The following is a 12,741-nucleotide window of genomic DNA, read 5'->3' on the forward strand; positions in this document are numbered from 1 at the left end:
CAGATCAACAGAAAACAACTTACTGGAGCCATAATACCTTAGCTTTCTGGGTGGGGGAGACCCTTAATGGCTTAAGATTTGACATTTTACAGCCTTTTATTCCTTTTTGAAGAGGAAGAAAAGATATTTCCATTTGAAGATTGTGTCTATATCTTTTATAAAACCAAGTTGTCCATTATAATAAACAATATCTATTATACAGGATTCACATGATAAATTCCTCCTGGAATTCAGTGGCAGGAAAAAGAAATCTCTCTAGGCAGATGATCGCACAGGCATGTTGCTGTTGTTGTTGTTGTTTTGGTTTTTTTTTTTACTTGACAGAGAACCATGCAACTCAATTTTGTTGTTTTCTTCCCTTTTTGCTTTAACTACCAAGAAACTCAGAGTGAGATTTAGTGGGCAAATACGGTGATTTATAATGGGACTGTCTTAAGCTTCTAGTTATGTTTCTTATAACTTTTTCTGGTTTGGGGTTTGAACTGACCTGTTTTCACGTGTTCTTAACACTTGAAAACCACTTAGGTCTGTTTTAAGAAGGTGTGTCAAGGAATCGTAGAACCAAAAACTCTCAGAGTGGGAATAGAACTTGAAATATCATTTATCCTAACTCCCATACAATGCACAAAATATCTACTCTGTTCCCATTACACCATCATTTAACTTCTGTTTGAATATCTCTAATGACAGAGAACTCACCATCTCTCAGACTCTAACATTCATTTTCAGATATCTCTGACTACTAGAAAGTTCTGCCTTATGTTGATTTTATGTCTCCAGCTTCCATCATTTGATTCAGATTCTGTCTTCTGAAGCAACATAAAACCTGTTCTCCATAGTATCCCTTCATATCTATTAAGAGAGCTATCTTGCCCTTCCTTTGTCCCTTAGTGTCCATTTCTCTTGGCTAAGTATTACAATTCATTAAATTGACTACCCTCAATGCCACAAGTTAAAACCATAGTAAACAATAACTAGATTCTTTTCAATGCACAAATGAGGAATGTTTTCGCTATCAAAGGTTACCGGTCCTCAAGAAAAAAAGTTAACCAATTATGACATACTAAAAATGTGACTTAATTTAGCTCTTTAGTATTTTATGAAGGAAATATAAAAACACTCGAACACTTTTCAGATACAGAGCAAGGTATCTAACCTCTAATAAACACAAGAAATACAAAATATACTTTGTTTTTAAATAATAGCTATGAAGTTAGATATATATGAGTATATATGTATATATATACGAGTATATATATATACTCGTATATATGTATATATATACGAGTATATATATATACTCGTATATATGTATATATATACTCGTATATATATACTCATATATATACTCGTATATATGTATATACGAGTATATATATACTCATATATATGTATATACGAGTATATATATACTCATATATATACTCGTATATATGTATATACGAGTATATATATACTCATATATATACTCGTATATATGTATATACGAGTATATATATACTCATATATATACTCGTATATATGTATATACGAGTATATATATACTCATATATATACTCGTATATATGTATATACGAGTATATATATACTCATATATATGTATATACGAGTATATATATACTCATATATATGTATATACGAGTATATATATACTCATATATATGCTCATATATATGTATATATACATATATACATATATATGTGAGTATATATATACTCACATATATATACTCATATATATGTATATATATACATATATACTCATATATATGTGAGTGTATATATACTCACATATATATATGAGTATATATATATACTCACATATATATATGAGTATATATATATACTCACATATATATGAGTATATATATATACTCACATATATATGTGAGTATATATATACTCACATGTATATATGTAACTTCATAGCTATTATTTAAAAACAAAGTATGTTTTGTATTTCTTGTGTTTATTAGAGGTTAGATACCTTGCTCTTTATCTGAAAAGTGTTCGAGTGCTTTTATATTTCCTTCATAAAATACTAAAGAGCTAAATTAAGTCACATTTGTAGTATGTCATAATATATATATAGTATGTCTCATATATATATAGTATGTCTCATATATATATAGTATGTCTCATATATATATATAGTATGTCTCATATATATATATAGTATGTCATATATATATTTATAAAAATATATATATATATCTCCACAGGTGGTATGAGAGAGGGTGATAGTAGATAGACAGATGGGAACACAATAAAAACGTTAAATAACAAAAGAAGGGGTAAAAGTGCACAGAAAAAAGATACATACACAGAAAGACATGGAAATATTCATTTATTTATTTAACATATATTTATTGAGTGCCTGTCATATGCATCAGGCACTGTGCAGAGTACAAAGATGAATTAAACATAGTTCCTGCCTTCAAGAATCTTGTAAATTTTTTTTAAATCTAGGTCAAATATAGTTGCGACAAGAAGACAAGTAAACAACCATAAAATAAGTTAATGTTACATAACCATCAAAGAAGTATAGGTAGGAATTTAGAAATGGAGACATATGATTATAGTGAACAAGGAAGGCTTTTGATGAAAAGAGATATTTGACTAGACTTTGAAGAATGGGTAGAATTTGGACATGTGGTGGTAGGAGACAGAGAAGGAATTTTAGGTAGAAGAAACAGCATGATTAATGGCATAAAATCAGAAAATGTCAAAGGAAAGAGCTAATAATAGATTTTGACTAGAGAATAAATTGCAAGAAGAAGAGTAGAGAAAGCTAGGTTGGAAATTAACTAAGGAATTTATAAAACTAAAGGAACATTGAAGTTTCTGGAGCAGGAAAATTACAAGAGGTGAACTGTGATCCCAGAAAAATACACTTAAATACAGAAAAGATACATACAGAAGGAAAAAAGTTATTTCTCTGGAGTCGCATAATCATCTTATGATATGGTTTGGAACACTGTTACTAAAAACCATTAAAATAGTGTTGTACTTTCTAATTATAAGCCTAAGTGGGGGTATTTTGTGTTAATGTTTGTCTTGTGGGGTCAGTGACTAAATCAACCCAAATCTGACCAATGAGGCAGGTTCTACAGTTTCACAACCATCCAGAAAATTTAATCTGACCTTAGATTGCTCCTGGACCAAGGGATGTCCCACAAAACAAGTTGGACTTATTTCTAAACCACATCAAAGATGTCCCAGTGAAGTTAAAATACTGCCACTAATAGTGAACCAAAGTGAGTATATAGGTTAATGGTCACCTCTACCCCCAGTCTCTCTTTGAAAGAGATTCATTATTGCTTGGCCTACAGCAAACCCAAACTAGCTCTATCAGCTAGTCCCTGAGAGGGCTCATTCTTATTACCAATGCTGCTTGAACAATTGTTTTTCCGATGATCTATCATTCCAGGAAGCCATGTCATGAGAAGTTCACCTGTGTCTATTCCCCATGATGAGCTCGATCACCCCTGAAGTAAAGCTCTTCTTTGGCTAGTCTATACCCAGTGGATACAAAATTGTACTCACAACTCAGGAAATTTCCTGTCTCTGGAGGAGAAAGTTGGTGTCGACAAGTAGTAATCAGATTCAGTTCTTATCTTGCTTTAAAGTTCGCAGATTTTGTTCTCCCCTGACTTCTCTCACTATAGGAGCTACCATTTGGATATTGGGCACATTGAAAATATTCTTGGTGTTCTCCAAAGTCAGGCATCTCCTCATGTATTTCTGAGACTTTAGTTCTATAGGACCTGGGTCCTGTGCTAAAAGCTACAAATGAATCCATAGGGCCAGGCAGAATTAGAGGTTTATTCTCCATCCACTTGGGCCAGATCATCTTAGATAGGGGCATATATGGATTAGATCCTGTCTGCATGGTAAAGCCGATTTAGTGATCAAGGAATCTGCTATCTTCCTTCTGTACTCTATTTCTTTCTGGATTGTGATGTCAGCAGTCACCTAGCTCAAAACACCCCAAACCAGAGTATTCCTGCCAAGCCCATGCTTGTACATACACAGTTAGGGATCTTACCCCCAGAATTTCTAAGAAGTATTCCTAAGGGTCAGAGGTTTTCCTTGATAATTCAGATCTATTTTTGACTTGGTAAAGCAAGTTCTTATTTACTAACTAGACGGTAACTTTAAAAGGATAGCTTCTCCTCTCAGAATCTTCATATTTTCCTTCATACTATAACAGGGTTGATAGTTTCCAAAGGCCCTGCCAGTTCTATGATTCTATGTGTATATTCATTTGCTTGGAATTAGTCACCTTTGAAAGCTCTTTAGTGGCATCTGGAGCCACTCTAATTTGTAGTGAGCCAAAGTGAATATATAGATTAATGGTCACTTCTGCTTCTCTCTTTGAAAGCAATTCATTATTGCTTGGCCTACAGCAAATCCAAACTAGAAAATAAGTAAGATTGCAGGGGTTTTACAAAGCATTCCAGGAGAAACACAAACAACACACAAATAACAGACATATAATGTCTTATAAAAGGTAAGTTGTGTCTATGTCTATGGTCTACTCGTCAATTATCTTGACCCGAGAAGAAGGCGTGGACCACAGAAGGGGTGAGAGAGAATTCTATTGCACAGACTCCACTATTTTAATGGGCTATAATCAACCAGTCAGATGGGAAATGCATTGATTAGGTACACCAGCTTTGGCTGGAGAAGAGGTTAAAGTAAAATGGTCAATCCCCTGTGGCCTTTTGGCTAATTAATGCTTACTTGATTCAATTGAGTGTTTAAGTTACATTCAATTATTTGATATCACATAGATGTGACCACCCAGTGCATGAAGTATTACTGTTTGGCTGTTTGCCACCTCCTACTCCTTGCAAGTTGATTCCAGTTGGATTAAGGACAAGAATGTAATTAAATGAGTAGTTTGGTAATAAAGTTGTTTATACTATGTCTAAGACAAGGTAGGAAAAATGAGAGTTCTTGCAACAATACTTCTTGTTAGAGTTGCTTTATGTAGTAAACCAAGTTATGGCCCTCTGATGAAGTAGATAGCCATCTGCTATCTCTTCCTGCTTCGCTATCCCAAGTGCAATGAAGAATGACTGGATCGCCTGGGCGATAGAGCGAGACTCTGTCTCAAAAAAAAAAAAAAAAAAAAAAAAAAGAATGACTGGATCACTGAAAGCTGCCCAAAATCTAAACAGATTCAACTTCTACCATCAAAAATATGAATAATATTGCCAACAATAAAATAAAATAAAAGCAAACTGGGTTAATTTCAGAATCAGCTGAGTTCAGGTATTCTTTGGCTAGGTAGATGCTATAATAACATGCAATAATCTATGAAGTGAAGCCAAACAGGGAAGATAGAATAAAGGATCTAAAGGAATTTTGAACAATCCTAACTTCCTGTGTGCCTTTCTGTGTTTTTCTAAATTTTCTACAATGAACATATATTGCTATTGAGGTCCGTAAGGGAAAAAAAATCTAAAGAAAAGGACTTATATAATTCCCCATGGGATGATCATTTTATTCAGTTATGTTGTAAAGTACAGTAAAACCTCAAATAAGCAAAACCTAACTTGCAGTTCTTTCAATTTGGCTTTGTTTTTCCAATAATTTATTTTTAAAAGATAAATCACAAGAAAACAAGCAGATATGAGGGATGTGATAAAACAAATTTAAATTTGTTTGAAAACTTTATTTAAATTGTTTTCTAAATATTTTATTTTATACAAGGAATATAAGGGTACTTAGGAAAACAACTGGGGAGAAATTTTTACTCCCTCTTAATGACCAACTCAAGCCAGTGTGCTAGTAGCAACAGACAAATAGAGAAATAATCAGTTGTATGTGAGAATCATGCTATACCTCACTAAATAAATCAAATAGTATATGAGAGTAGGGAATGGTTTTTCTTCTGATCAAATAATTAAAGCACTAAGAAAAACTGAAGAAAACTTAGTTTTGGTCAATGCAGAAGGCCTTAATGAAAAAGAATCTAAAAATGGATGGACTCATTTTACAAAGGGCCTCATGATAAAATCAAGCAAAGGATGATGTGATCATAAACAAGACAGAATTAGTAGGCTTGACAAGATAAACTTGGTTGACATGCTGGACTAGAGAAATACTAAGGAGGGAAATAGGGGATAGGATCAGATACAGAGTTAGGAATCACTCTCAGTGGGTTTTGTTGCTTAATAAAAGATTTTGGCTGAGCACTGTTCATTTTGCAGGCCCACCCTGGAGCTATAGGTCCTAGGGCTAAATAACTGAACTGTGTTTGGGAGAATACAAATTCATGGAGGCTCTGGAGCTGCAGCCCCACTCCCACTCCCTTGCCCTCAATTATCCTTCCATATGTATTCTGCAGGACAGTGCTACCATCTCTGGAAGAAGTGAAGCTTTTTTATTGCCTCACCAAGAAAAGATTCAAATCTTGGAGCCCTTTGCCCTAGAGCGAGAGAAAGAGAAAACAGTAAGCATGCCTTACATATCCTAGGCCTTTCACAGGATTTCAATACGAATAATTCCAAGCCCCCGCGCCACTACTATATTCCATAAACAGCTTGCAAATTCCTCAACTTTCCTGGATTGTTAAACAAATAAACATTATCACATTTGTCACCCAAACTTCTAGTTAGGTCTTAAAAGCTCAGCTTTTGACTGAGACCTTGTTAAAAATAGAGGATGATATTTTATGTGTCCTTCTCTGGCATGTCTGGAAAAAGGAGTTAGAAACTCTGCTCAAGGAAGTTGAAAGGCAACTTAAGCCTTTTCTGCATCCTCTTAAACAGCTTTGGCATAGCAAGTAGACCACCTGAGGCTGGCAGAAGTTGGATTCTGTTAAGAGATAAGTAGTCCAAGGGCCTTTGACTGAAGGTTGAAGGAAAACTGCTGGGAAGAACTTTTCACTCTAAGCTCAGATTCAGGGTGAGTTGATAGTGGAAAAATTAAATAATAGTGAGAAAGGTATCAAATTATACCTTAGGCATTTATTTCTTTAAAAGGGGTTGTACTAAAAAGAATTAACTGCTTTACTAGCTGATATGTTTGGGTTCAGCTGTTTTAATAAAGAGATTTTTTTAAATATAATAAACGAGAGGAAAAGCTTGCTTAACTATTTTAAACATGCCTGAGACTTAAGCCTTATTGCTTTGGTCCACGTGACTGTGGCAAGCCACTGCCAATAACCCCTTGAAAGTGGAATCTGGAAAACTAAAAGCATAAAGTAAAAACAAATGTTCAAAGGGATTTATTTTAGGAGAAGGGGTAGAGGGTTGAAAGGCAGGGTGGGCAGGAAAAGGGAGGGAAAATACAAAACTTTAAGGGAATCGCTCAGTTCAATCTATGATTTTTATATCTTTTACCCTGACAATATATCTTACATTTATTCTGTCATGTTTAGAATACTACCCTGAGTCCCAGTTAAATACTCATCTAGCAAGGACAATCCAATTATGTTGCCTAACTTAGGAAAAGAGACAGTGACAGTTTTGGAAAGATTTTGAAAAATGAGCAATAAGAAAACAAAGAAACTTCTTAGCCTTCAGTTATCCAAACAACACAATTAACCAGACTCTTCTCCCTCTTTCTTCCTTATGCATTCCAGCCAATTGAGGTCACAATAGACTGGGATTCAGATGTATGTTTGCTGGAAGGCTTTTTTTTTCCTGGAACTAATCTTATAGTATCTGAGTTATAAATTATGTTCATTAAATACTTTCTAGAGATTAAAACGAAATGAAAAAGAAAACATACTGCCTCCTACTTTTTTTCTGTGAAAATAGAGAGCTTCTCATCTTAATCCAAGTTGGGCCTGCTACTTTGGAATGACTAAACTTGGAGGTGGCTCTCTACTCTTCCATAAGGTTCACATCTATTGCAGTTTACATTCATACGGCCTTGCTAGTGATAGCTGGGTATTGAGCAAAACTTTTAAAAATTACTTCCCAAGGTCCTGCTCACACTGGAATTAGGTCATCCTCAGAGGTGTAGTCATTCACTAATTTCTTGCCCAGGCAGAACAATTTCTTGAACTGAAGTGAGCTTTCCCATTGCCTCACCAAGAGAAGATTCAAATCCTGGAGCCCTTTGCCCCTGGGCGAGAGAAAGAGAAAACAGTAACCATACCTTATATATCCTAGGCCTTTCACAGGATTTCAATATGAATGATTCCAAGCCCCACACCACTACTATATTCCATAAACAGCTTGCAAATTGCTCAACTTTCCTGGATTGTTAAACAAATAAACATTATTACATGTGTCAGGTTTGCAAAATTAGACATTGCCATTTACAAGGGTTTTACAAATTTAACAAAAAAGAGAGCATGTTAATATACAGGTGGTCTTCAACTTACTAATGAGGTATGTTCTACACATTTATAAATCAATGATTTGGAACTTGGAGTGGCTTCCTCCATAGTAACAGTGCTATATGTGTGGTGGTCAGGTTTCTAGCCAGTCCACAAAGGCTGATTTAACCCACATGGAGCAGAGTTATATTAAAGCTCTGGTGGGAGTCCTGGGTCCTGATAGCAGAAGGAAAATGTGCTTTCTCTCCATTCGTTGAGTCCAATAAAGACTCAAAAGGTTTAAAAGAGGTGGAATCTAAGCTAACTTTTCCACCTTCATACTTATTTTCACCCTTCTTCTATTTCCCAGGGATCCACTGCTTTTGTGTTATCCCAAGCCTGCCAGTGTGACCCTCTATTCTTCAAAACTGCCAACTTCCCCATTTCTCCTTGTCCTAATCAAAACGAAACTGCCAAGTCCTCCTGAACAGTTAGCTCAGTTCACCTTCATTATGATATGGGTGATTAATTGTTTCTCACCCTCAAAAAAGCACATCTATGATTAAAAGAGGGGGCTTGTCAGCCCAAAATTAACCTCAGTAGGTGAAATTTTATGGAAAGTAACCAGATGATACAAAAACCAGGTTTGAGAAGTAGTGGATATTTGGGGACACAAGATAAGAGTTATCAGGTGACGTGTAGGGCCCTGCTTCAGAGGCAGCCCCTGTAATCACTTCACCAAAGCTGTGCCCCCTTTCATAGCAGTTTTTCTTCCTCCCTGGCCAACCCCACAGGGCTCTCTTAAAGGTTTCAAGTTTTTCCTCAACATCTCTTATGATGGTGGCAGCAAGTCAGTGGCATTCATAGGTATCATAGGTCTTTTGTAAGTTGGGTCTATCCCAGTAAGTGTCAGCCTGTAAATTCACAGAAAGTTGGAAACATTCTGGAATAGGTGGTGTTAGCAAGTAACAGCAACAGAGGAGTGCTTGGACTTAGGACAAGCCTTCTGAAATTTGTCAGGGATGTACTTCTTGGGGATTTTTGTGATTTGTATAGGCCACCAAGGCCATGTGGTCAGTTAACATGCTGATTGAAGTACATGTGTTAATGAGGCCAGGACCAGGGATGGATTTCCTCTCTTGACCCAGTGGCTTCAATCTGTTCCATATATCTACAGTACACAGAAGCTGGCCCTCTGTCAAGGGGTTCCAGATGAGTGAATTTACAAATGACCTAAGCAACATGCATCTGCATGTCAGGAAAGCACTACCAATCACACAGCCAATGATGGTAAGTGAGTTGCAGTATTTTCTGCTGCAAACTCCAACACATTCTTAGGAATGGATGGATTCTTGTACAGTGCCTCCAATGCCACACTACCCTTCCAAAGGGATAAATCCTTCAAGAACTTCCAAACACTTTCCTACAGAGAGAGAGAGAGAGAGAGAGAGGCTAGAGAGTATGTGTCTGGATCTGTGTGTGTGTCTGTCTGTGTCAGAGGTTGTTCCTGTGTTTCCCTAATCACAGGAAAGAATGTTTCTGGAAATTGGAAGACTGTAGAACAAATCCTGGCCCCAGGTGTCAGTGAGTCAGAGGGTGATTCAGGAGGCTGCAGAAGAGCCACACACTCAATACAGAAGCCTTTGTGATGCATAAATGTTTACGACTAGTTCAGAGTACCTGTTATTGTTGTAGAAATGAAGATGCATTGGGGTTTCCTTAGGACAGAAACAGTCACAAAGAATCAACAAAGTCATCAGAGGCCAGTGGGAGAATATGAAAGTATGTGGATGCCTTTAGTAGTGGCTGCTAGAATTGTGATTATTTTGGGACATGTTAGAGAACAAGGGAGCAGGAGTATGTGGAGATGCCTTAATGTTTACCTTAGAATCTTGTGATTTCCAAGGATATGTGGAGGGAGCAAAGTGTTTCAGGGCCAAAGTTTCCATGGAAGAGAGAATAAGAAAGCAAGATTTAAAAAAAAAAAAAGCAAACACGATAAAGAAGAGAAGAGATACTGAAAAGAGCCCAAGAACACAATGGATTCCTCAGAGATAAATACCGATAAATATGTGGAGAGAATTCTTGATAATTAGATGGTTGTTGCTGCTTCAGAATTGTACCATCCTAGTAGGGGAGGAAGGATGGGAGAAATTGTCCTGAATACAAGCCAGGCAGTCAAAGAGTAGCCAGTCTTATTTTGGTTGGCAAAATTGATCCTTTGAAAGGGATCAGGCAGTGCCTCCGGAGGAAATGACATAAACATCCCCTCCAAGGTGGTCTTGTCAACAGATCCCAGGAATAGCCGGTAGTCCTACTGCTATTGCCTAGACAGATGTAAGTCTCTAAAGATCTGATGTGGCTCACCATGTGGCCCAGGTGCTCAACAATAAAAGAGACAGGTGTACCTGCCTGATAATTGGATAGCAAGGCCAGCTTTGTTAGCATTCAAATATGTTGTCAGGGCAAGAGGTAAGGGTCTCTCTCGGGCCAGGGCAGACAATTTCCCACAGGTGCAGCTCACCCTGCAGCAGGCCTCCCCACAACAAGGTTTTCACCCATTTTATTAGAGCTTGGAAATTCTCCAGCTCCATCACACTATGCCAACAGAGTATAGGCTGACACTGGCACGCATGCCAAAGGAAGCCCCAGATTTGAAAATTTGGCAAGCTGCTGTGCTCTGTTTTCCTCCTGGCCATTACCTTATGGCTTGTTTCTCACCAACTGCCTTTCTGCTTTTCTTCTTTGGAAGGCTGCAATCTCCACTGGTTGCAGGCCATGGCCCACTTGCCTGCAGGGCAGGGGAGACATCAAATAGGTAGTGAAGAAAGTGTGGCAGAGTATGGCATAGGAAGACTCCAATTAAATGTGAACTCCACTTACCCATCTTTGTCCACTGGTGGGGGCACAGGAAGGGGCTTCATGAAGCCTTTTTTCCCAATCAGCCAGAAGGTTTCCTCTGTGCCTTTGCCCTTATTATAGAAAACATAAAAAATCTTAAGCCTGCTATAATCAATTTTCCAAAAGAATATAAGCATTCAGGTTGGCTCAGAAATTGCCTCACCACTCCCTGGAGTCTTCCTCCCTACGGGGCTGAGCCAGAGCAGCCAGATGAAAAGTGAACACTATATCAAGCTGTCATCCAGATGTTTTGTCTACCGCCACCATACAGCTTCATCATTGGGAATGTGTGGATGTTTGGCTTGACAGCAACCAAATGTCTGGATGCTCAGTTGAAGATTTTGCTTATCATTTGTGCCCTGATCTTTTGGCATTAGGTAAGCCATTGTCTTCTGTATCTAGAGTACATATATTCAGATTCTACCTACCCGCTTACCGTCTCATTCAATGGCTCTCACCAAACCCAAAAAGAGAGTAGAAATGGAAAACAGGCTGTTAAATTTTAAGCCTAAATTATCCTGGCTATTTTGAGAGGTCTACATTTGTGCAGTGTTCTTTTCTTCCAGCCAAGGGACTCTTACAGGTAGGGTAAGACTCCAGGTTGGCCTCCATCTATAGGTCAGTTACTTGGTTGTCAAGAACCACAAGTCTCAGAAGAGAAAAGGAGTGTAAACTCAAGCTAGTCACCCCAGGGCCTGAGTGATGACCTCAGAGGAGTCAAATTTTCTGCCTCTGTTCTGCCTTTCTCTCTTTCCAGTAAACTTTCCTCTCAATGTGCTTCTCTCTCCTCCTTTCAATTCTCTTTCATCTGTTCTCTCATTTCCTCTAATCCATAAGAAAAAAATGTGTTTACCAAGACTGAGAAAAGTAATGGGATGTGTTTCCAACTCATTAATCTGAAATATGGTCTCACTCACAGCAGCTCTCATTTGGAGCAGTTCTGAATTGTTTAACTTAGAAATTCCAATTAGATTTACCCCTTTAAATATCAAGTCCACTGTTCCCTATTTTATATCACATATATTTATCCCTTAACAATAATGACAAAAACCATAATAATTAGCACATTTAATTGGAGAATCTCAAAGCATTTTGCAAATATTTGATTCAAGGCTTGAACAAGCCTTCTATGAGGCAAGTAGAAAGAGCATACCACTATAGTCCAACCTCCATTAACTGGCATCAGACTCTCCCTAAGCCTCAAATAGTTCAAATAATTGGACTATTTGAGCCCACTCTGTTTTCAGAAGAGGTAAGCAACTTGAAAATATATTCCATCACTCATTCTTTCATTTATTCCACTCCTCCTGTACTAGGGCTGGGAATACAGAGATGGTTCCATCCTTAAGGAACTCACAGTACAGTTAAACACAACCATTAGGCCATGTTATAGGTTCTAAACACATGAAGCCCAACTCCTCTGATTCCAAAGCTTTTTCTTTTTACACAGTACCTAGTGTAGTGTCTTATACAGACAGTTGCCCAGTAAATAATCAGACTGTTTCATTAATTGAAACTCTCAGCCCTTGTGCACTTGGAATACTCAAGACACCACTGGA

At 37.2% G+C, this 12,741-nt stretch overlaps 1 protein-coding gene across 1 annotated transcript in view, besides 1 other annotated feature; it reads right to left on the reverse strand.

The window, feature by feature from the left end:
- GUCY2F (guanylate cyclase 2F, retinal) overlaps window positions 7,992-12,741 on the reverse strand; it is a 109,181-nt gene continuing 104,431 nt past the window's right edge. Inside the window, exons 18-20 of the mRNA NM_001522.3 lie at window positions 11,165-11,253; window positions 10,984-11,072; window positions 7,992-8,085 (exon numbers count right to left, since the gene is read on the reverse strand). Coding sequence (NP_001513.2) covers window positions 10,985-11,072; window positions 11,165-11,253 — 177 coding nt within the window. The 3' untranslated portion in view covers window positions 7,992-8,085; window position 10,984. The remainder of the gene's footprint in view (window positions 8,086-10,983; window positions 11,073-11,164; window positions 11,254-12,741) is intronic.
- Window positions 9,524-10,229: an enhancer, noted in NCBI's record as "OCT4-NANOG-H3K27ac hESC enhancer chrX:108617667-108618372 (GRCh37/hg19 assembly coordinates)". NCBI's record gives its function as "activates a minimal SCP1, AML or CMV promoter by ChIP-STARR-seq in naive H9 embryonic stem cells {active_cell/tissue: H9 hESC(naive)}" and the evidence as "EXISTENCE:reporter gene assay evidence [ECO:0000049][PMID:30033119]".

The sequence above is a fragment of the Homo sapiens genome, chromosome X, assembly GCF_000001405.40.
Source record: "Homo sapiens chromosome X, GRCh38.p14 Primary Assembly".
In the NCBI taxonomy this organism is placed as follows: Eukaryota; Metazoa; Chordata; class Mammalia; order Primates; family Hominidae; genus Homo; species Homo sapiens.